General features: G+C 38.0%; 1 protein-coding gene across 18 annotated transcripts in view; it reads right to left on the bottom strand.

Annotated features, from left to right (window-relative positions):
* The window catches only part of RYR2 (ryanodine receptor 2), a 791,805-nt gene that overhangs the window by 258,656 nt on the left and 508,189 nt on the right, over positions 1-24,960 (bottom strand). For 15 of the 18 annotated variants that reach the window (XR_007062490.1, XR_002957299.2, XM_006711802.4 and 12 more), the window contains 3 exons: positions 24,642-24,789; positions 8,558-8,766; positions 6,014-6,188 (listed from right to left, as the gene is read on the bottom strand). Coding sequence is in view for 16 of the 18 variants with exons in the window: in XM_006711802.4 (XP_006711865.1) it covers positions 6,014-6,188; positions 8,558-8,766; positions 24,642-24,789 (532 nt within the window). In the remaining 2 variants the exon portion in view is untranslated. The remainder of the gene's footprint in view (positions 1-6,013; positions 6,189-8,557; positions 8,767-24,641; positions 24,790-24,960) is intronic. The other 3 variants (XM_006711803.4, XM_047427317.1, XM_006711810.4) reach the window with 1 other exon arrangement.

Here is a 24,960-nt window from a genome sequence, read left to right as displayed (position 1 = left end):
TGTGTCAGGAGAGCTCCTCCTAGGTTCTTGGTATGGAGGAGTATCACAGCTTGATTAGCTACTATACCTCTGTGGGTAAAAGCTGAAGTGTCAACTAAGTTATTAGGCAGCATGGCTTATAATAAAAATGGCTTCTGATGAGGTAACCGCGTATGAACTCAGAGAATTATACGTACATCTAAAAACACTCCTGTTGGAAGAGGAATCCTTGGGACTGCCCTGCTGGCAAGCCATGATTCCTGTTCTCTCTCTAAACAGACTGGTGTCATGGGTGGTCTTTGATAGTCTTGTGAGTCTGAAGGTTCGGTTGAACCTAAGAAAGCCCCTTGATCAACATACCGGTTTTCTATTGCTATGGAACACACTACCACAAACTTAGCCATTTAAAGCAATACTCATTTCTTATCTCATAGTTCTGTAGGTCAGAGGTCCAGCATGGTAGGGCTGGGTTCTCTGCTCAGGGTTTCACAAGGATATAATCAAGATGGTAACGTGGGCTACATTCTCATCTGAGGGTTGGAGTCATCTTCCAAGCTCCCTGGTTATTGATGGAATTTGGTTCCTTGGGCTGTAGAACTGAGATTTCTCGGTTTTTGTTTGTTTTTTTGCCAGCTATGAACTTGGGGCTGTTCTCAGTTCTCAGAAGCAGCCTGCAGGTTACCATCATGTTGCTCTCTCCATACCACAGCAGTCTGCTTCTTCAAGTCCAGCAGGAAAATTTATCTCATATTTTGTATCTCTCTGACTTCAGGAAGGACCCAATCCCTAAGGGCTCATCTGGTTGGGTCAGGCCCACCTGTATAATCTCTATTTGACTAACTCAAAGTAAACTGATTTAGTGACCTAATCATGAGTGATATCCCATCATATTCACAAGTTCTGCTGACACTCAAGAGGAGAGGGTTATATAAAATGGTGTGAACACCACAGAGAAAGATTCCTAGAAGCAATCTTGGGATTCTGTCCATAAGAGTGAACACTGCAACCTCTTTCCCTGGGCTTCCCCAATCCTGATTTTGAATGGTTATCAGTCCAATGGTGAGAAGAGACAAGAATTCATGGAAAAACTTAAGCTCATCTAAAAACTGCTTCCACACATGCCCCTCACTATTCCTTTGTGACATTACAGTCCAAGGGGTCTTTTAAAAGTGATGATTGAAGGAATCCTTTTGCCTTCCCCAAAGATACTCTGAAGAGATTTTTAAAAAGCCAAAGAGAAGGGAGAATCCTAACAGAGGATCTGCCACATAGACAATGCGGCCTTTAAACCCTGAAATTCTAGTGGAATTTCACTCTAGTTCAACAATGCTCTTGATCTTGACCATGTAAGCGTGGTTTTGAGGAGGAGTTGAGGGAATGAGAGCCTTGCTCCTTCTACCAGAGACCAGTGTTTCTGTCATTTGGTTTTTATCCAGTTAACAGATGAGTTTCCTGAGGGCTGCTGCAGTCCCTATTTGAGGAAGAGGTCTGCAGCCCCTTAGAAGAGACCTAACAGCATCTTTTTATTTTCATTTTTTTTCAGACGGAGTCTCACTCCTCTGTCACCAGGCTGGAGTGAGGTGGCGTGATCTCAGCTCACTGCAACCTCCACCTCCCAGGTTCAAGCAATTCTCCTGCCTCAGCCTCCCGAGTAGCTGGAACTACAAGTGCCCGCCACCACGCTGGGCTAATTTTTTGTATTTTTAGTAGAGACAGGGTTTCACCGTGTTAGCCAGGATGGTCTTGATCTCCTGATCTTGTGATCCGCCATCTAGTTCTGGAAGAGGATAGGGTTGTTCCTAGCAGTACCTTTATAGAACAACCCTATCCTCTTCCAGAACTGGGATAGCCATAGCTCCCCCCTGGATTTAACTGGATGGCCATATCAGTCTTTCAAAGATGTTTGTGATTTTCTTTTTGACGGTATATAGAAACAACTTATACTGGTCAGCAAATCATTTCAGTTGTATAAACTATGCAATAGATAGAAAGGTCAAAATATACTTGGCCATGTTGTCTACTAAGCTGACCAGACAGGGATCTACAGCATGTGTCTGTGTGTATGTGTGCGCATACACACATATACATATGTATGCGTGTGTGTGTGTGTGTGTGTGTGTGTATGTGTATATCTCCATAGATAATAATTTCTACATTTATCCATCTTACCACATACTTTAATAGTCAGTGTATAAATGACTGAGCTTTCTCTGTAGCAATAAGAAGAGATTATGAAGATAGTTAAAAATGGCAAATCGAACATGATACAGACATAAAGACAGGCTAGGTGTAAGAAAAATTTAAAATAGACCACTTATAAATCCATTTTAGTACTTTAGCAACCATAGTATGTTTCTGTGCTAGAAAACCCTAAATAAATAGTTTTTCAAACTGGATCCTTTGAGCTCTAGCTACCTCAATGCTAGCTCCCAGTAGTGACAGGTAAATTAAGGAGCTTTTTTGGGAAGCTATATAAAGTCAATTTGGGAGAGGAGGGATGGGGAAGAGATATTCCAGTACCAAAAAGCATTCAAAAATCATAGGCATGGATAAACTCTGAAAGCCTTTCTATAGTAGAAAATTTAGATTCATGACTGACCCCTACAAAGTTACTACTTAATGATTATTGCTACATAAAGCTTATAACCTGCCTTGAAGACCAAAACGCAGGTCCTCCCAAAACCTCTAATAAAAGCCCAGCAACCTCAACCACAAAATTTCAGACAATTCATCAAAATCCTGTGTTAACTCTATGATAGAGATACCAATACAAAGTTCAAGTCAGTTTTTAAATTTTAAAAATTCTATGAAATACAAAGTCAAAAGCCAAAATTGTTCAAAACCATGTGCCACGGTGACACACTTCAGAGTCTATCTCATTATTGCAATGGTGATTGGTCTATGTGACTGTGTGGTACCATGAACATTTGTTACGTGCTTAAATAGTACGGATGAGCATTCTGCAAATCTGTGTGTATCATGTGAACCACGTACCATACAAACAGAACTCACACATGCATTTAAATTTTTTTTAACATCCAAAGAAAGGAAGCACAGCAGTCAAGTATTTTTTAAAAAGCCAATTAAAAAAATGAAACCTAAGTCACATCCATAGTAGCAGCCAGTGTAGACAGATAGATAACACCAATAAAAAGCCTTCCTCCTACCTTCCCACTAATACTTTGACATCCCTAAAACCAATATCAGAGAAAGGGAGACAGGTAGGGGAGGGTTAGAGCACTAATTTCACCACCCGGAGATAAGTGTTCAAAATAGATATTAAGGGTATAAAAATAGTTAGAAAAAATGAATAAGACCTAATATTTGATAGCACAACAGGGTGACTATGGTCAGTAGTAATTCAATCATACATTTTAAAATAACTAGAAGTATAATTGGATTGTTTGTAACACAAAGGATTAATGCTTGAGGGGATGGATACCCCATTTTCCATGATGCAATTACTACCCATTGCATGCCTGTATCAAAACTTCTCATGTACCTCATACATATTAGACTTACCATGTATCTCCAAAAAGTAAAAATTAAAAATTTTAAACATAGATATTGAGTTACACAAATGTAAAATTCCTATTATCTTTGCAAATCTGTGTTAGGGAAATGATGTTCATACCTGCTCAAAAGCTAGCTAAATGAATGAATATAAAACTTCATACAAGCAACAAACTGGCTAACATTTTGAAGATCAGTGACAAATTTATATAGACTATTAGAAATAGGCCTGGTGCAGTGGCTCACGCCTATATTCCCAGCACTTTGGGAGGCCGAGGCGGGTGGATCACCTGAGGTCAGGAGTTCGAGACCAGCCTCACCAACATGATAAAACCCCGTCTCTACTAAAAATACAAAAATTAGCGAGGCGTGTTGGCACACCCCTGTAATCCCAGCTACTTGGGAGGCTGAGGCAGGAGAATTGCTTGAACCTGGGAGGCGGAGGTTGCAGTGAGTCAAGATCGCGCCATTGCACTCCAGCCTGGGCAACAAGAGTGAAACTCTGTCTTAAAAAAAAAAAAAAAAGAAAAGAAAAGAAAAAGAAATACTGGTTGAGGTAGGTATGTATCTTAAAATCCAAGACTATATATATGCAAATATATATACATTTTTATATGCAAATCCATATGCAAACATATAACAGGATATATTCAAAAGCCATTTTGAAAAGAAGTGTTGGCTTATCTTTGAAATAAGGTTATTATTATTATTTTGAGACAAGGTCTCACTCTGTCACCCAGGCTGGAGTACAGTGGCACAATCACAGCTCACTGCAGTCTCGACCTCCCTGGACTCGAGTGATCCTCCCACCTCAGCCACCTGAGCAGCTGGAGCTACAGGAACATGCCACCACAACTGGCTAATTTTTTTAATTTTTGTAGAAACAGAGTCTTGCTATGTTGCCCAGGCTGGTCGCAAACTCCTGGGCTCAGCTATCCTCCGCCTTAGCTTCCCAAAGTGCTGGGATTACAGGCATGAATCACCATGCCTGGCTGAAATAAGATAATTATATAATTTGTATCAGATACTGTCTTGTTTATATGCTCTAGAGTAACACTATCCAATAGAACTTTCTGTGATGAGAGAAATATTCGCTACCTGCACTGTCCAGCAGGGGCATCCCTAACCACCTGAGGGAATTGAGCCCTTTAAATGGTGGCCAATGTGACTAAGAAACTCAATTCTTAACTTTTTAAAATTTAGGCCGGGCATGGTGGCTCAGGCCTGTAATCTCAGCACTTTGGAGGACTGAGGTGGGTGGATCACCTGAGGTCAGCAATTCGAGACCAGCCTGGCCAACAAGGTGAAACCCCGTCTCTACTAAAAATACAAAAATTAGCTGGGCATGGTGGTAAGCACCTGTAATCCCAGCTACTTGGGAAGCTGAGGCAGGAGAATCACTTGAATCCAGGAGGCAGAGGTTGTAGTGAGCTGAGATTGCGCCACTGAACTCCAGCCCGGGCGACAAGAGCAAAACTCTGACTCAAAAAAAAAAAAAAAAATTCAAACTAACTTAAATATAAACAGCCCTGTGTGGCCAAGGCCACCAAATTGGGAGTGCATGTCTGAAGAGTAAATGTCTTCCTTGCTTCACCAACACCTTCCATCTTTTTTTTTTTTTTTGAGATGCAGTCTTGCACTGTTGCCCAGGCTGGAGTGCCATGGCGTGATCTCTGCTCACTGCAACCTCTGCCTCCTGGGTTCGAGCAATTCTCCTGCCTCAGCCTCTCAAATAGCTGGGATTACAGGTGCATGCCACCATGCCCAGCTAATTTTTTGTATTTTTTAGTAGACATGGGGTTTCACTATGTTGGTCAGGCTGGTCTCGAACTCCTGACCTTGTGATCCATCCACCTCGGCCTCCCAAAGTGCTGGGATTACAGGCTTGAGCCACTGAACCCGGCCCACCCTCCATCTTTACAACTCTGCTCAAAGGCCATCTCGGGGCCCCACAGGCAGCAGCACGTGCTCCCTGCATGGTGCTTCCACAGAGCTTTCTGCATTTTTCTGTCTTAGAACTTAGCCACTAAACAGAAACTGTACAAGTGTCAACCTCCCCTGGCAGGTAATCTGTAATCTATACAAAGATAGGACAGTGTTTCATTCATCTTTGTCACCTCAGCATCCAGCAAAGTACCTGATCCATTGTGGGTCCTCATTTCACTTTTATGAGATGAATAAACAGAAAGAGGCTCTAGGCAGCTGATGAAGCAGGGAAGTTCTAAATGAAAATTTAACAATGATGGAAACCTATTCTTTTATCTGCTATTTATTTTCTTATTCATACTCATAAAAGCCATTTCAGCCTTCTAGAAATCCTAGCTAAGTCGTATAGATAGCATTTCTAATAATGTTATTTCAAGGGCATCTGATCAAGTCAGTCACAAGGCACCCTCACGATTTACAGCTGCAACTCATCTGCTCACTCACCCTGAAACAGAAACGCCCGGTTAGGAAGCCTCAGGATGAAAGCTTCCTTGTGCTGCAAACTTAAAAAAAACACAAAACATAGTAGACTTACCATCGCCAACATCAAAGTCCTTGAAAGCCAGTTCTGAGCCTGAATCATCAAGAAGGATTTCACCATTCAGTGTGAACATCATGGTGTGTTCGTTCATGTCAACCATACACCCCACGACATCGCCTGCTTGCCAAGAGCGCCCATAGTGTTCATTGCCCTGATGCCACCGCTGGGCCTATACAGAGGACAGAAAAGTCCCTTGTCACAGACTAAGCCAGGAAAATCGCACCCACCCACCACTCTGTCACGACCTAACAGCAGTCCCTTCTATCAACACAACAGTAGGAGAAACTCCAGCTGGCATATCGGTCTACTGCAATGTCCTAAGCAAAATGGAGCTGTCTGGGAATTCTAAATCCCTACCTAATATTAACATGGTATATTATCGAATCTTGGGAAAAAAATCCAAAATCTATGTCATGATTTTGAGAGCTTATTATTTTAAAAATCGAACCTCACATACTTTCTACTGAAAGAAAACTTATATGCCTTTAGAATATATCATTTTTCTGCGACAATGAATGTTTCCCAGAATACGGTTTGTTTTTCTCTACTCCCACAAATACAAATAATTATGAGCTAGGGAATCAAGCTGGGCATCTGTCATTGAAAATGATAGTGTAATTTTCATCTATTTCAAAATGAAATTTCATTCCTTAGAACCGATGGCACAGATACTTTAACAAAATGGAAATCTAGAAGCATTTCAGTTACATACTAAAAGTAAAAAAGCTTCAAATCAAACCTAAAAATATCCTTAGGATATCTGCTGAAGTAACAAGCCAAAAATTGAATATAGATGCCAACCTTTTTATATATATACATAAAGTGAAATCTCATATTGTAAGTACATTTGAAACATAGTTTTGATAAACGTGACTTTTGCATCTACAAGTATATTCCGTTGATTCATAAGCACACCTGAGTTATGTGAATTTTTTTTTCAGATAAATCTTTTGACTTTTTCTTAAACCTCACCTTCATTGTGAATCGGTACGTTACCAGACAGAGTCGCCAATGCAAAGCAATGACATAATTCTTCTTAATATAACACACTGTCTTTTTAAAAAAGTTTACATCAGGTATCAAAAGGCATAAAATGCCCAACCGACTTACCTGGCTGTGGTGTTCTCCTTCCTACCCCACCCACCCCATGCCTGTTCCCAAATCGGGAGTATCCTTTCTTGCCTATCATTTGACTGGGAGTAAAGGTTATTTTAACTTCCTCAGGTTACTTCCCACTCTGGTTCATTACATCTGATCTTCAGGAGGTATAAACCTAAAGCTGCCTTTTATCTGTTATTTTATTTTTTGAAGTTTAAAGTTTGCTAATTTTGACCGCCCCCCAACCCCCCAAAAAAGTGTTAAATTTTTCTATTTGAAATTTTTAAAAAACTGGATTCAGGAAATGTGATGTTTCAAAACTAAGTGGGTCAACTGCCCTAATTTCAAGCCTAGAAATGCTTTCCTACACAGGACATTTCACTCCAAGAAATATCCAAACGTCAAATCTCTTCATGATTGCTTATTTATTCTAATTTTATTTTTCTTGGTTAAAAAGTAGCTTTTTCCCCCTCATGTGAAAAGGAAAATAAATTCACTTAAAAAATAAAAAAAAAAGAAGACTTTAAAAAAATCTATGATTTTACCAATCAAAAGTGACTATTATTATCCTATTGTGGCTATAAGCATATATACCTTGTTGTTATTATTATTTTTTTGTTTGTTTTGAGACAAGGTCTCACTCTGTTGCCCAGGCTGGAGTGCAGTGGTGTGATCATGGCTCATTGCAGCCTCGACCTCCCGAGCTCAAGCAATCCTCTCACCTCAGCCTCGTATGTAGCTGGGACCACAAGTGCACACCACCATGCTTGGCTAATTTTAATTTTTTTTTTTTTTTTTTTGTAGAGACAGGATCTTACTTTGTTGCCCAGGCTGGTCTTGCACTCCTAGCCCCAAGTGATCCCTCCATCTCAGCCTCTCAAAGTGCTGGGATTACAGGCACCTCGCCCATATTACTGATCAAAATATTTTACACATGTAAAAGAATCTTTAAACATTTATTAGTATATAAATAACAAAATAAACACCTGACCAGCTTCCATCCAACTTAATAGAAATTACCAATAATGTTGAAAATGAAAACCGTTTGTGATTATAAACAACACTACATTAAGCATTGTAGCTATTAAATGTTCATACAAACCACTAATTATAGCTTAAAGATAAACTCCTGATACGGAATCGCTGCGTCAATGTATATGCATTTTTCCTCTACATATGTATCTTTAACATTTTGATAGACAAAGATGATTTATCTTTTTGATAACCATGGAAAAGCAATGTCTTACTTGGTGAATTTCACTGCATTCATGGGTTGTAGGGAAGGGTTTTGAGACTACGAGGACAAAAGCTTTCCTGTGAAATATTTTTCCACGTTTGTGCTGTGGGAAACACTGGTACTGTGAAGCTACCAAGAGGAACAGCAGAGGAGATGAGCCTCCAGCACGTACAGATGACTGGCACAGGACAAAGTCCACTCACCTTGAAGCCATCAAAGGCAAAGGCACGTTCATCTGAGCCAAGCTCCTGATCCGGTTGACAACCAGGACGACTCCAACCAACCCTCATGTCTCCAGCAGTGACCGTCTCAAATTCAAAATACCACCGTCCGGCCTTCACTGCATAGGTCTTCTCGGCACGGAAGATTCGGAACCTTTCCCCGGTGCCGCTGCACACTTCGGCTCTGGCTGCTGGGAAATGGACAGAGATTTCTGGTGGTCATTGGATGGGGAGGTGAAAGAGAAGGAAAGATATCATAAATAAAAGAAGGAAAGATAAATCACGACTTTAGTAATTCAACCTAGAGCGATGATGATAATGATACCTTCTTATCTTCTTTCCCATTTTACCAAGTGCTTTCTGATCTAGGATCAGCCACTGTCAGACCAGCTGGGTGAAGTGGAAAGCACCAGGGCTTGCGCTGGAGAGACTGGGGAATGAGTCTCCGTCAGCCTCATTTTCAGGAGGGAACGACCTTTCTGTAGAACAAAACCCAAGTGCCTTGGTGCTTTGGTTGTGGAGGATGAGATGGAAAGAAGTCAATAAGAAAAAAGATCCGAACTGCTCTGCATAAGAAATGAGTAGACATGTACGGGTGAGAGAGAAGAGGGAAGACGAAGCAAGGAAGAGAAGAGAAACAGAAATAAGGGAAAGTTGTAAACAGTGGAGAAAAGTAACAATAGCATCAATAGTAAAAATTTCCCTACAGGATGGTGATGGCTAAGGAACTCAAATGTGATGCAAAATTTTTCCATTCTCGCATACATCTTCACTGTGATCTGCTATACATACAAATGCTGTATTTAAAAGATCTGGGGGAAAAATAAAAAGGTCAGCATCCAACATTAGGACCAGTGTGATGCAAAAGGGGGAAAAGTATCCCTAGGAAATGAGATGCAGGTGAGATTGAGAGAGACGAGAGGGGGAAGTCTCAGAATGAGGAACCCAGAGCCAGAACGACGATGAGAAGGTAAGTCCTTCTGAAACCACAGAGGAGAGGAATGAGTGTTCATTGAATTGATATCTCAAAGAAGGTGGTCACCCAGCTAACATCTGAGTTAGATGCAGAGGAGGAAATTTCAGACTTGACCAACATCGCACAACTAAAAATGGTGGAACTTGGGAGCTGCTTCATGTTATAGCCCCTCTTCTTCCTACTTTGCCTCCAATAGCTCGCACAGAGTTACTAGTTACTGGTTAAATGCTAGTTTTCAGCCAGGTGTGGTGGCTCACAGCTGTAGTCTCAACACTTTGGAAGGCCAAGGCGGGAGGATCGCGCCCGGGCAACATAGTGGTACCCTGTCTCTACAAAGAGTTTAAAAATTCAGCCAGACATGGTAGTGCATGCCTGTAAGTCCAAGCTTCTCAAGAGGCTGATACAGAAGGATCACTTGAGCCTAGAAGGTCGAGGTTGCAGTGAGCTATGGTCGTTCTACTGCATTCCAGCCTGGGTGATAGAGTGAGATCCTGTCTCAAAACAAAACAAACAAACAAAGAGAAAGAAAGAGAGAGAGAGAAAGAAAGAAAGACAAAAGAAAGAAAGAAAGAAAGAAAGAAAGAAAGAAAGAAAGAAAGAAAGAAAGAAAGAAAGAAAGAAAGAGAAAGAAAGAAAGAAAAAGAAAGAAAGAAAGAAAGAAAGAAAAAGAAAGAAAGAAAAGAAAAGAGAAGAAGGAAGTTCCTATTTGTTTCTCCTTAAGATTTGGGAAAGACTTTATGCATAATAAAAATTTAATAACAGTTCAATCAATGACTTGGTATGATCAAATTAGAACTATAAAAATAATCTATATAAGCACTAAAGGTTGCCAATAAACATACAGCTAGGTCATATGTAACAATTTAAAATGAGATGAAGTAAAGCAGTGGAGACACCATGGCTGTAGCATGAGATGGCTCCCTATCACATGGGCTTAATTAATGAAACGATCAATAACTGCTTTTTTGATAATGGTGGTAGTGCTTACTGAATGTAGAACTAACTGAATCTGCTGGCTAACCCTTCAGAAACTAGCTTAAGTCTCTGAATCAGAGAAACATTTCTATGGTTAAGGGTAAATTCTCATGCCTATTACTTGGTAAGTAAATATATTTTGAAAAATAGGATCGTAAACGTTGTTTTGAGAGAAAAAAATTCTATCAGATTTTATGATATTTAAAGGTAGTTTGTGCTATTAAGAAACTAGTTCTTGGCGGGTCGCGGTGGCTCACACCTGTTATCCCAACACTGTGGGAGGCTGAGGCAGGCAAATCACTTGAGGTCAGGAATTCGAGACCAGTCTGGCCAACATGGTGAAATCCCATCTCTACAAAAAATACAAAAATCATCAGGGCCTGGTGGCATATGCCTGTAATCCCAGCTACTTGGGAGGCTGAGCAGGAGAACTGCTTGAGCCCGGGAAGCAGAGGATGCAGTGAGCCGATACCATGCCACTACACTCTAGCCTGGGCAACAGAGCAAGACTCTGTGTTTAAAAAAAGAAAGAAAGAAAGAAACTCGTTCTCAGTGCTGCAATACTAAACAAACAGGAAAGTCAAATTTTTACTCAGAGTTAGTATTTCCTCAAAAAACAGATTACCGATAAATTGTTTCCTTAAAACATGCCTGTAATCTTCCCTAAATGAATCTAAGAGATAAATATGAGCTATAAATTACACAAAAATTTGGAGATTATTTTCAGGGAAGAAAAAATGATCAGGTAGTTATCCTTATTTTTAATTATGTTGATATTTGCAAATAAAATATTACATTACATTCTAGTATGCATTAATAGATGTAACTCCTAATTTTCTAAATATAGAATTAGTATATACTATAGTCATTATATACCATGAAAACTATACTACAGTTTTTTTGGAAAACTAAACTACTGAAAAATACCAGGTTCTCTTTTCTGTGTTTGGTTTCTAATATATCAAGACTTCACAAATATGTATAGTGCACTCAAGTAATGCAAACTAATTTTAATATTAGCACAAATCAAATATTTTAGAAGGCAAATTCGGTATAAAAATGTAATAATTTCCCCAAAAGCCCCCTACACAATTCTCTTGGAATTAAAACATACCACTAATCCCCTTTATTACTATAGGGAATGAAAATAGGGGGTACTACATGGAGAATATATTGCAGTAGAAACAATGCAGAGTTTCTGAGTCCTAATATTCTTCTTCCTGGCCCTAATGCTATGCTATTCTTATGCTCATTGATGATACTTAACCTGAATTTGAAACAAACATGTGGTTCACAGATACTATCATGCAAGGGACTTCACAAAAAAAAAAGGACTCTTCTTTTTCTTTTTTAATCTCTGTGGATTTTCCTATTTGTTTGTGTTTTTTTTTTTTTGAGATGGAGTTTTGCTCTTGTTGCCCAGGCTGGAGTGCGATGGCACCATCTCAGCTCATTGCAACTTCCGCCTCCTGGGTTCAAGCAATTCCCCTGCCTCGGCTTCCTGAGTAGCTGGGGTTACAGGCATGTGCCACCATCCAAGCCCAGCTAATTTTTTTGTATTTTCAGTAGAGACGGGGTTTCACCATTGTCACGCTGGTCTCGAACTTCGAGCCTCAGGTGATCCACCAGCCTCAGCCTCCCAAAGTGCTGGGATTACAGGTGTGAGCCACTGTGCCCTGCCCCATAGTATATATTTATTAAGTTAGTTTAGGGTAGTTTGCAACTACGTTTTAAAGAAGCAACAGTTCAACATTATACCTCTTGCTAAAATACTAATACAAAGTGAAATCTGGGTTTGTAGGAGTTTTTTAAAAAGATCCAAGCAATCCGTAACAAACTTATTTTGCATACCTTGTAGTATCAAGCACCTGAGCCACAAAGTAAGTGCTCCATATATACCTGCCAAACTGTATCTAGAAACGAAGACTCTTCCGGGCTCCGGATATAGCAGCCCAGACAAATAGCTAATGGGTAGCATCCTGTCAAAGGCACAGAACTCTCCCCCGAACATCCTTATGCTTTGCTCGATTTTAAACACGATATATTTATGTGTTTGATAGGCAATTATAACTCATGTAAGTATGTTATATAAGTGATTTTTATACTGTTATAATGAATATAATAATAATGGACATTTAAAAATGAATAGTTGGGAGACATATTCCTGTCATACATTATCAAGTCTGTTGGTATTCAAAGCAGAAACAATTCAGGAATTATATTATTAATGAACTACCTCAAGATTAAGGCCAAGGACTGAGCAAAGACTGTGCTCCCCGTACCTCCCAGGCATGACACACCACCAATCACCTAACTAGGGCCTAAAAAGGCCTAAAGTAACCATACACTCTGCTCTCCAAACAATATAGCTAAGAAAATATATGCCACTAGAGGGCAGTCAAGATCTAACTATACATTAAAATCTTAAGTTACAAGAAGCTATAAGGAAAAGCTAAAATTTTATACATATCTAGAATCTTTTAGGTCTAATGATAATACTTTTTAAAATTATTGGTATTAATCAGCCATCCTTTCAACCTTCTGGTATTATTTTGGATAAAACAATTCAAATCTTGATTAAACCTTGTAGTAAATAAGAATAAATTCCATTTTCAAATGCTTTAAAATATTATTGACAACAGTACTCCAAAGATACTACAACTCAAATACAGAGTTCATGTTTTATCTGGAATATGTAAGCATTCTCCTAAGAGAAAATAAATTATAATTCTGATTAATTACATAAGGCTTGATTCAATTTTATTAAACTTTTTATGCCCTTGACTTTTTTTTAAATGTCAGCAACAGCAGTATAGACTATTATAAATGAATGTTTTGAATCTCCTCTTAGTGATAATCAGACTGATTTTGCTTTATGCTATAAAATCTCTCAACATCTATCTTTTAATTTTTATTCCCACCATCCTTGTTCAAAAAAACAATTTTTCTAAAGCCTCCCAACTGGTCTACCTCCAAGCACTGCCCCCTCCAATCTGTCCCTTCCCACTGTTGCCGTAGTTATATTGCTATTGTAAACTGTGATCACACATCAAGCTCTTGCTTTAAAACTTCCTGGGGCTGGTACTCCTTATACAAATTTATCCACATTTCTTAGCTGAGTTTGCAAGATATTCCATATTTTGCCCTAATCTTTCTACCTTCATCTATGTCTGTTCTCTCTGCCCATCTGTACCCTATATTTTATCCTAAGTGGACCATCTACCCTTCCTCAACTCTTTCTACACTTAATCACATCAGATGTACTTTCTTTCTAGTAGCGATGGCCTTTCTGACACTAATCTCTACTTGTTGAAATTTTGATCCTTTCAACATCTAATTCTGAAGACATTTTCTCCCTTTACTGATTCCTGATCCTTTCAACATCTAACTCTGAAGATATTTCTCCCTTTACTGATTCCTCCCATTGGAAAATTAATCTTTCTTCTTATGTCTTTTCCATACAGATCACTTGCATCCCTACTATGAAGCATGCTGTTATATCCTGGCACATAGTAAACACTAAACATAATCTCAGCTTCTACTGTAGAATATGCCACTCTATTCTCATTGCTCACTGTTCACATAACTTCGGTAAAATCAAACCTTGTCAAACAACTGTCAGTGGCTCTATCTCTAAATTCTTAAAATACAGAGATTGTGTGATCACCATTTTTTCTCCCTGTTTTCTCATTTTCTTATACACTCACTCTTCAAACTCATTAGATTCCTTCATTCTTCCCTTCCCTATATAACTTTCCATACTTTCTTGCCCTTATTAGCTTTTCCCCTACTTGCTCTCTTAACCCCAATTACTGTCCAATTTCACTACCTTCACTCTCAACATCTATACCTGCTCTGCTGAGTTCGCCAGAAAACACATGCACCGAACAGATTGGCACCACTAACTCAGAGTCTCTAACCTCAACGGGACCATCAATGTTTCTCCACAATGTTTTTATCTGTTTGCAGTCTGCTCTCTGTTCCATCCCACAAAACAGCAATTTTTAATCTTTATTGCTGAGTGACATCAGTAGAAATGGTAGAGAAAGAATCTCCAAAAATCCTCTTCTCCACAGAATTAATGAGAACACTGGCAAAAAACTATGCAAATGAAATTTTTCATAGCTCTGGAAATTAACTAAAGGCTGGCAAAAGCCAGGGAGTGTTTATTTGATAAAAATGTCCAAATGTTGGTAAGAACAGCAAACTAGTGATGTTTTAATTTGCTCCTGCTGCATCACCCTCTCTCTAATTCCACAGCATATTGAAAACCAAAGGACCCTCAATCATAGTGAAAATCAGCCACCCATAAGCCCTTGTAGTGGGCAGAACAGAGCTGGAGTTCCTCCAAAGCCCAGTTCCCAGATAACTGTCATTATGTTCCCTTTTCTGGAAAATTCCATCGGTAAGACTTGTCTTTATTCCACTTGACTTAGAGCTTGCCCAGTGCAAATAGTTGTTTCTCCAAGGACATTTGTTGAAAATCATCTGAGGCAATTTGTTAGCCTTGCAGCTTTGTGAGGCAGCAATAACAGCTGAGGCAAACAGCAACTGACCAAAAAGTTTGAAAGGAAAAGCTGGGGAGTGAAATATCCATAGTGGGATGTGAGAAGCTCCAACATATTCCTGGGACTCTAGAAGGCCATGCTCATGCCCAGGGCTGTGCATGTATTCAGGAAAAACCTGAGAAAGCTTACACCTCTGAAAGACCTTGAGGCTCTGCACATGCAGTAAGAGAAGGCTAATGTGAAATTATAAATTGCCTGGTTGAGTGTTGAAGGCATGTGCCAATATGCTCACATTACATTGCCTCTCCTTTGGTAAAGACTGGGAGACTTATCAGTCCTAGGCATTTAAAGAAGTCTCTGTCCTACCATCAGCTGACCATGAAGCTAATGAAACTGAGACTTCAGTGGCCACACATGACAGGCAACACAGTCTCTACTAAACTAGTTTAGAAAAATTACCAAGAAAGCAAACAACAATGACAATAAGCACAACAACAAAATCTGAAATAGGGGCGAATACAGAGTTACCAAATTACATTACTTTAAATGTTCAATTTTTCACAAAAATTGTGAGACATGCAAAAAGACAAGACAGTATGTCCCATACATAAAGGGGTAAAAAGCAGTCAATAGAAATTATTCCTCAGGAGGCCGAGATGTTGGGCTTATTAGACAAAGACTTTAAGTTAGGTATTTTAAATCTGTTCAAAGAACTAAATAAAACCATGTGTAATGAACTAAATAAAAGTATGAGGCTGGGCACAGCGTCTCATGCCTGTAATCCTAGCACTTTGGGAGGCCGAGGCAGGTGGATCACCTGAGGTCAGGAGTTCGAGACCAGCCTGATCAACACAGTGAAACCCCATATCTACTAAAAATACAAAATTAGCCAGGCATGGTGGTGGTCCAACTCTGTTCTGCCCACTCCAGCGGCTTGTGGGTGGCTGATTTTCACTATGATTGAGGGGCCGTTGGTTTTCAATATGCCATAGAATTAGAGAGAGGGTGATGGGGCAGGAGCAAGTTAAAACATCACTAGTTGCTGTTCTTAGCAACATTTGGACATTTTAATCAAATAAACACTCCCTGGATTTTGGCCAGCCTTTAGTTAATTTCCAGAACTATGAAAAATTTGATTTGCATAATTTTTTGCCAGTATTCTTATTATCCCAGCTACTTGGGAGGCTGAGGCAGGACAGTCACTTGAACCTGGGAGGTGAAGGTTGCAGTGAGCCGAGATCACGCCATTGCACTCCAGCCTGGGCAACAAGAGCAAAACTCCATCTCAAAAAAAAAAAAAAGTACAAAAATGATGCTTCACCAAATAGTGAATATCAATAAAGAGGTAAATTATAAAAAAGAATAAAAATTTCTGGAGTTGATAAGCACAGTACCTGAAATTAAACATACATCAGAGGGCTCAACAACAGATTTGCACTGACAAGAATCAATGAACTTGAAGATAAGTCCGTTAGTCAAGTATGAAAAACTGAAGAAGAAATGAAGAAAGACAAGCAGAGCTTCAGAGGCCTGGGGGATACACTCAACCATACCAACATACACATAATGGAAATCACAGACTGTAAGGAGAGACAGAAAAGAGAAGAAAGAATGAATAAATAATGGCCAGAAGCTTCCCAAATTTGATGAAAAACATTCATTTACACATCTAAGAAGTACAGTAAACTTTGGGGATAAACTCAAAGAAATTAAAACTAGACACATCATAATCAAACTGTTCAAATCCAAAAACAGAGAGAGAATCCTGAAAACAGCAAGAGAGAAGCAACTCATCACATACAAGGGACCCTCCAAAAGATTAATGTCAATGCCTTATCAGAAAACATAAAGGCCAGAAGGCAGCGGGATGATATATCTGAGTACTAAAAGAAAAAATAATTGTCAGCTGAGAATTCTATACCCAACACATCTTTACTGCTCTCTTCAAGGCTTCTAATCCAGTCCAGCCTGCCCTAACTTCTACTCCTTAGGAAAATAAACTCATTTTCTATTTCAACCTGAAGACAATAATTATACAGTAGACTGCCCTCAGCTTCCTCCTGATTTTCCCTGTACACAGGTTTTTGCAGCGTCTTCAATCTTTACTTCTTTCCTACTAACCTTAGGGGAATAAGTGTTGTTGTTCCTTTTACAGGAGGCCAATCCCTTTACCCATGCTCTGAATTTCATTCCCTTCAACCTTCTCAGAGACCACAGCTCATCAAGCTCCTCTTACTGTACTTTCAACCTCTCTCTCTCCCTTAGTGTAAAAATGTCCACATTTCTTTCATTTAAAAAATTAAATTTTTAACCCTCTGTTTCTCTCTAGCAATAGTCTCACGTTTGTACTTATATATGTAATTGAATCCTGGTATATGTGTTGAGTTGTCTCACATGCACCTCAAACTGAAGATGTTTACAATAAAACTCAGAATCTTCCCACTACCCCATGTCCATCTGCTCCAATTCCTGTGTTCCCAACCAGTGTGTATGTACTTGACATCTATCAATCCAGAAACTATCTCAGATGCCTCCTTTGTCCTTCTGCTGATTCTACTTCTAAATGCCAAATAATTTTTTCTGTTCACAGTATTGCCAAAGACAAGGTCTCCAACACTCCTCATCTATACTTCTTTTTTGTCACCAAACTGCTGTCCTCATCTCCAGTTTTGTTTACATTCAGCCTTTTTCCTAAAGAGCCACTAGAATCATTCTTTAATTTAAAAAAAAAAAAAAACTGTTTCAACTCCTGCCTCCTCTATTTGATCTACTGCCACTTTTCAAACTCCACTCTACATCTGGTCGTACAAAGCTCTCTGAAATTCCCATTTGCAATCCTCCTTGTGTCTCTAAGCCTTTACATATACTATTCTCTCTGCCTGAAATGCATGAACCCGATTGACTTAGCTGTACCTACTTTGGTGGTTTTAAAATATGTCCACAAATACTTGAGTACACCTCCATTCAAAAAGTGTGGGCTTCATTTAGTGGTTCACTTCTAACAAACAGAATATAATAGAAGTAATTGTAACAAGCATTACAGCATCCTTGTACTCACTCTTCGATTTTTCATTCTGGGGGAAGTCAGCTTCCATGTGAAGGCACTCGAGCATCTCTATGAAGAGCTCTGTGTGGCAAGGCTGTACCCATCTGGCTGTGTCTTCTGCCAACAGCCAGAGAGGAAGCGAGTTCTTTAGCCAACAGTTATGCAAGTGAGCTGTCTTAGTATCCAGTGCTCCAGCTCCAGTGAAGTCTTCAGATGACTTAAGCCCTGGCCAACTTAATAGCAATCTCAGAGAGACTATGATCCAGAACCACCTATCACTCACATTCATAACCCACAGAAACTTTGAGATAACAAATTTTGTTATTTTTAGCCACTGAGAGGGTTTTTTTTTTTTTTTTTTTTTTTTTTTTTGGTGGGAGGGAAAGGGGTAGTTTGCTGTACAGGAATAGATAACTAATATACCTCCTCTTTAAAGATTTCCCTCATATCACCAAGCTGATTTAAACCCCCTGTGTTATGACTCTTCAGCTTAACACTTTCATTGTATGGTAGTGGTAGCAATTTAGTCTATTTTCCCTGTCTACACTGAGAGCTACATAAGACAAAAACTCTTATTCATCTTTGAATTCCCAGAACTAGGCACAGTAGGTGTTCCATATCTATGTGTTAAAATAAAATAGAGTGGCCAGGTGCAGTGGCTCATGCCTGTAATCCCAGCACTTTGGGAGGCCAAGGTGGGTGGATCACAACATCAGGAGTTCAAGACCAGCCTGGCCAATATGGTGAAACCCCGCCTCTACTAAAAATACAAAAAAAAAAAAAAATTAGCCGGGCCTCGTGGCAGGCGCATGTAGTCCCAGCTACTCGGGAGGCTGAGGCAGGGAAAATCACCTGAACCAGGGAGGCAGAGGTTGCAGTGAACTGAGATTGCACCACTGCACTCCAGCCTGGGGGACAGAGCGAGATTCTATCTCAACTAATAATAATAATAATAATAATAATAATAATAATATTTTAAAAAATGGAAATGAGAATTGCAAATATGGAAGTAAAATGAAGTGGAGCATATGTTTTATAAATATAAGCTCCTTTTCTTTCTTCTTAAAATTCACATAATTCAGAAGAAAGTAGGTACCCATAAGGTAGCAATATGTTGTCCACAACGGTGTTACGAAGATGAAATTATTAATACGTATTAGCTACAAATAGTATAAAACACTGTATGTCATCAGAATAACTTCTTAACATTTTACTTATCTGGCACCATTCTGGAGTAAAGTTATCTCTAAAAGCAAATGTATCATGTGTCACTGAATATAGTTTATGCCCTTAAGTGACAATATCTTTAAAATATAACCATCATTGATTTTTTTCTGTCTGGCATTGCAATGCATATTTCTATGTGCAGGGGAAACTGTACTCCTTTTCCTGGATACTGACCATAATTAACTCTTTCCTTGAAGACTCAAGGTTATAAATTCTCTGAGCTGTAGTGTTTTCCCTTATTTTTAGTTATTATCTATAACTTTAGACATTTATTATTAAGTTATTATCTATAAGTTTAAAATTGAGTCAACCAGACTTAGGCATTCTCTCTTTGCAATTTTCAGTGAGTATCAGGAAAGCAATGTTGTCAGAGTTCCTTCTAAATGTAGAGTAAGTAACTTTCAAAATGTTTGATATTAAGCAGAGTGGGGGAGCGGAAGGAAAACAGGTAATTATATCTCTATTAAGACTATAGATACCAAAATATAAATATTCATGTGTAAAGTAATGAAAACCTGGGGAAATCAAATGGTTGATGTGTCAGACTATAAAACCAGGTGTGAGTTTTTTCCCCAAAATTTTATCTTTATCATTATATAAGTATCTTTCCAACCTAAAAATATATTGACTGTCATCACTGCTACCTACATCCTCTAGGGATGCACAAATGTTAAAGAATTATAAAGTTAGAGGGAAGCTCAAGAACTCTTTGATTATTACACCCTTCTTTTGCCTAAAGAGAGTAGTTGAATCAAATATTTGAAAATATGCAAAAACACTATTGGAAATACTATATTATCATAAGGCAATGTTAGTGAATATTTGTATGCCTGATATATACATTTGTTGATTAGAAAGTACATTTAATAGGTCATTTCAAAGCTGTGAAACCAGGATCTCTTGATACTGTGATTGAACATTAACGTTCTCCATAGGATGCCATAGTCCTACTCAATAATGCCATGCTTTCCTAAGGTAATGTAAGACATAGTCACACATAACCACAGCAGATCACTCATAATAATCCACGATTGGTGATATGGAGAAATAAATAAATGTCTGAAAGTTTAACCAAAACAAAAGTACATTTAAGTTCAATTAACCTTTGAAAAGATTTATAAAATCAATTAATCCCTTAGAGAAGTGATCAAGATAAAAAGAGAGAAAACATCAACTATCATTACCAGGAATGAAAAGAGAGATATCATTAAAGATCCTACAGACATTAAAAGAATAATAAGAGCACATTAGTGCAATTTTATGCCTATATATGGCAACCTAAATTAAATGAACTAATTTACAGAAAAACATAATTTATCAAAGTTGACACACAAATAAATAGAAAATCTAAATAGCTCTCAAGCTATCAAATACATTGAATTCATAACAAAATACCTTTCCTATAGTATAAAACTCTAGGCTCGTGGTTTCAATGATAAATTCTATCAAATATTTGAAAAAGAAACAATGTAGAATTAACACAAATTCTTTCAGAAAACAGAAGAGAAAATTTCCTACTTAGGAAGCTAGATTTACATTGATATCAAAATCTAACAAAGACATTATAAGAAAAAAATATATACCAGTGTATTGCCCATAAACTTAGCTACAAAAGTCCTAAGCAAAATATTAACAAATAGAATACAGCTCTGTGTAAAAAAGGACAATGCATCATGACTGAAGAGAGTTATCCTAGAACTAGAAAGTTGGTTTAACATTTGAAAATCACTTGATAGTCATGATATCCACAGAATACAGGAGAAAAATACATAATCTGTTCAATAAATGGGGAAAAAAGCACTGGACAAAATTCATGACCCTATTTATGATAAAATCACCCACAAACTAAGAACAGAAGGGAATCTCTTCAATGTGATAAAGGACAGCTATAAAAAGCTATACTTAACATCATACTTAATGGTGAAACATCACAACTTTCCCCCTATAAGGCAGAATAAACTCTCTTACCATTTCTATTCAATAGTGTTCTGAATTCTTTACCAGTTCAATAAATCAAGAAGCAAAAAAGCTATACCAATTGTAAAAGAAAAAGTGAGGTTTAGTTTTTGCAGACCTCATGATTATGTATATAGACAATCCCACTGAATTTACAAAAAAATAGAACTGACATATAAATTTAGCCAAATCACAGGATATAAGATCAATATGTAAATATCAATTATATATCTCATATTCGTGTACAGTTGGAAAATGAAATGAACTTTAAACTAATTTCATTTAATAGTATCAAAAATATAGATAAATCAAATAATGTATAAGACCTCTAGTCTGAAAACTGCAAAGCAATGCTAAGAGAAACTAAAGAGGATGAAAATAAATGGACAAATGTACCATGTTCATGAATTGGTCGACTAAATATGGCTAAAATATCAATTCTTCCCAAACTGACCTATGAATTCAACTGTAATCCCATCCAAATCAAATTAACAAGTTGAATCTAAATGTATATGGAAATGCAAAAGAAGAACAAAAAACCTTTATAAAATATGAAAGAAGTTGGAAGACTTGCCCTACCTGATTTTAAATTTACTATGTGATAAAAATGAAGACAATGGAATATTAACTTAAGGACAGACATAAAGATCAATGGAACAGAATATACAGTCCAGAAATAGACTGACTTATGTGTTCAATAGGTTTTGACTAAGACGCCAAGGTAATTTAATTTGGTAAGGATAATTGTTCCAACAAATGGTGCTGGGACAGTTGGATATTCATCTGTGCAACAAATGAACCTTGATCTTAAGCTTACATCATACACAAAAGCTAACTCACTTTAGATCACACACCTACAAGTAAAAGCTAGAATAATAAAACTCTGGAAGGAAACATAAGAGACAATATTTTTGTTTTTGCATAGGCAAAGATGTCCTAGGAACCCACAACTATAAAGGAAAAAAATCATAAATGGACTTCAAATTAAGAATGTCTGCTCTTTGAAAGACCTCATTAAGAAAGTGAAAAAGCAACTTACAAACGGAAGAAAATCCTTCCATACCTGACATGGTTCTTCTATCCAAAATATACTTTTAGAAACACAATTCAGTAAAAAGGCCAACAAAAATTAGAAAATATGCCTCGGTAATTATACTCCTAAATATTTAGTCTAAGAGAAATGAAAGATTAATTATATTAATTATATACCAAGATTTGTATATGAATATTCATAGCAGCCTTATTCATAATCACCTAAAATTGGAAACAACCCACATCATCCATCTATAGGAGAATGGATAAACAAACAGTAAATTATTACTATTATTATTTAAGGAATGCCACTGAGCAATAGATTTTGTGATATACATAAAACATGCAAGATCATAAAAGCATCATGATGAACAAAAGAAACTACATATAAAAAATACACGTGATAATGATTATAAAATCTACATTTATAGGTTACATTTATATGTCTATTTGCTATAAATTAATCTGTAATGATAGAACTTACAAAGTGGTTACTTTGTTGGGAACACAAACTTTCTGGAATGAAGAAAATATTGGAGGTGTTTTCGGTAGTGGTTCCTTTTGTTTCTACAACTGTCAAAATTTACCAGACTGAACACTTCAGATGTGTACATTTTATTGTATACAAATTTCTATTCAATTTAAAAACTATTTTTTAAATTGTTTTTAAAACAATTTCTATTTCAATTTAAAAACATAATTATATAGAACTAATTAGCTTTGAGGGTTTATTCTATATCAGAGAATTACAGAAGTCTCTTTGATTGCCATTTTTTGGCTTACAAGCCTTTTATTGTTTACTTTCTTCCCAGTGGTTACAGGGACTGTACACTCTTTGAGACAGGAATCTTCTTGGTATCTGCACACCTAACAGCAACTGATTCATAATGCGTGTACCACATCTCTGTTGTTAGAAAGCTAACCTCAAGATAGATATTATGTTAGCATTATGGATATTACTGTTAACAAGTAGATACGTCATTTAATTTGCAGCAAATATAAGAATCCAGTAACTGATAAGATCTGTCAAGATGCCAAGTATGTCTTTACTCAATTCAAAGGACTAAAATATGTCAGGATGCCTATGATTAGGATCCTACACCTGCCACTTTAAATGGGAAGACACAGAAGTCCCTGAATCTCAGTTTCCTTATCTGTAAAATGAGCGTAATACAAGCATCATCCTCATAAGAGTTACTGTGAGGATTAAATAATAATTGTAAAAGTCTTAGAAACACTTACACAGTGAATATATAAACTATCATTATTATTTAAGATCCACTTTTATGTACAGGTAATGCACTGAAAATATGAGCCACTAGAATACATTTGGAATACATTTTTAAAACTTTCCATCAAAAATTATAGGCCCTGTGACGAAGCACACAACCGTAATTTGTTTTTTGCCAATTTTTTGAAAATGGGTATTAAACTAACTCAGACTGCAGGAGCAACGGATTAAAGAGTGGATCATTCTAAACTACATTCTTTTTTTTTTTTTTTTTTTGAGACGGAGTCTTGCTCTGTCACCCAGGCTGGAGTGCAGTGGCGCCATCTCGGCTCACTGCAAGCTCTGCCTCCCGGGTTCACACCATTCTCCTGCCTCAGCCTCCCGAGTAGCTGGGACTACAGGTGTCCGCCACCATGCCCAGCTAATTTTTTTGTATTTTTTAGTAGAAATGGGGTTTCACTGTGTTAGCCAGGATGGTCTCAATCTCCTGACCTTGTGATCCGCCTGCCTCAGCCTCCCAAACTGCTGGGATTACAGGCGTGAGCCACCATGCCCGGCCTAAACTACATTCTTCAAAGGTATTATTTAAGGAAAATGTATTCTTTGCAGAACCTTTAAAAATCCATTGTGTTCAACACATAGTTAGTTATTGAGTATCTATTGTAATGTGTTTCCCTTAAAGCAGAATATCACATTAATTAATTCAATGTTGCCTGTACGTGTGTGTAAATGATGAAGGTGGGATTTTGTAAAACACTAGCCTCCACTACAAGCTTATTCCCCAAATCAGCAAAAATCAGCTGTTCTGGAGGAGGGCTGGTGGGCTAGGGGAGGAGCCCAATATCATAATCAGGGAGGTACCTACTGATCTCAGAGGCTTGAGGAAGACAGGCCCATTTTCTCCGCCCAAAGAATCATCAGCATCCTGAGCCATCCCACTGAGAGATGGGTCTAATCCCTCAGGTGTTTTTCAGGGAAGAAAATCCACTTGGCTGAAATTCCACACCTAGACTAGAGGACTCTATCCAGTACTCCCCCTTTTATTCATTTATTTGGCTTTAAAGAACTACTACATCATCTTGCAACCGAAGAAGAGGAAAGTAAAACCAAAATACCATGATCTTGATCTGGTGCTTCCAAGTTGTAGCCGTACCCCAGCAGCGTGCGCACAGCCTCGCGGAGGCTGTCCTTGTTGGATTTCTTGGTTCGGTCATCCAGAAGAGTGTAGGGAACAAGGCGAGGATTTCTTCTGTTCTTTACGTCCTGCAGGAAAACACAGGGTGCAGCCGTCAAAGCAATACCAAGGGCTTTTAGAAATAAGTAGCTACCAAATACATCAAACTTTAAATTCCATGAGAAAAACGTGACCCTTCCACAATCCATGCGTCTTCCCAGGCTGCAAAGTTACCAAAACACTATCAATATACAGGATTC

The sequence above is a fragment of the Homo sapiens genome, chromosome 1 (assembly GCF_000001405.40).
Source record: "Homo sapiens chromosome 1, GRCh38.p14 Primary Assembly".
Classification (NCBI taxonomy): domain Eukaryota; kingdom Metazoa; phylum Chordata; class Mammalia; order Primates; family Hominidae; genus Homo; species Homo sapiens.
This window is presented reverse-complemented; position numbering and strand designations above follow the sequence as displayed.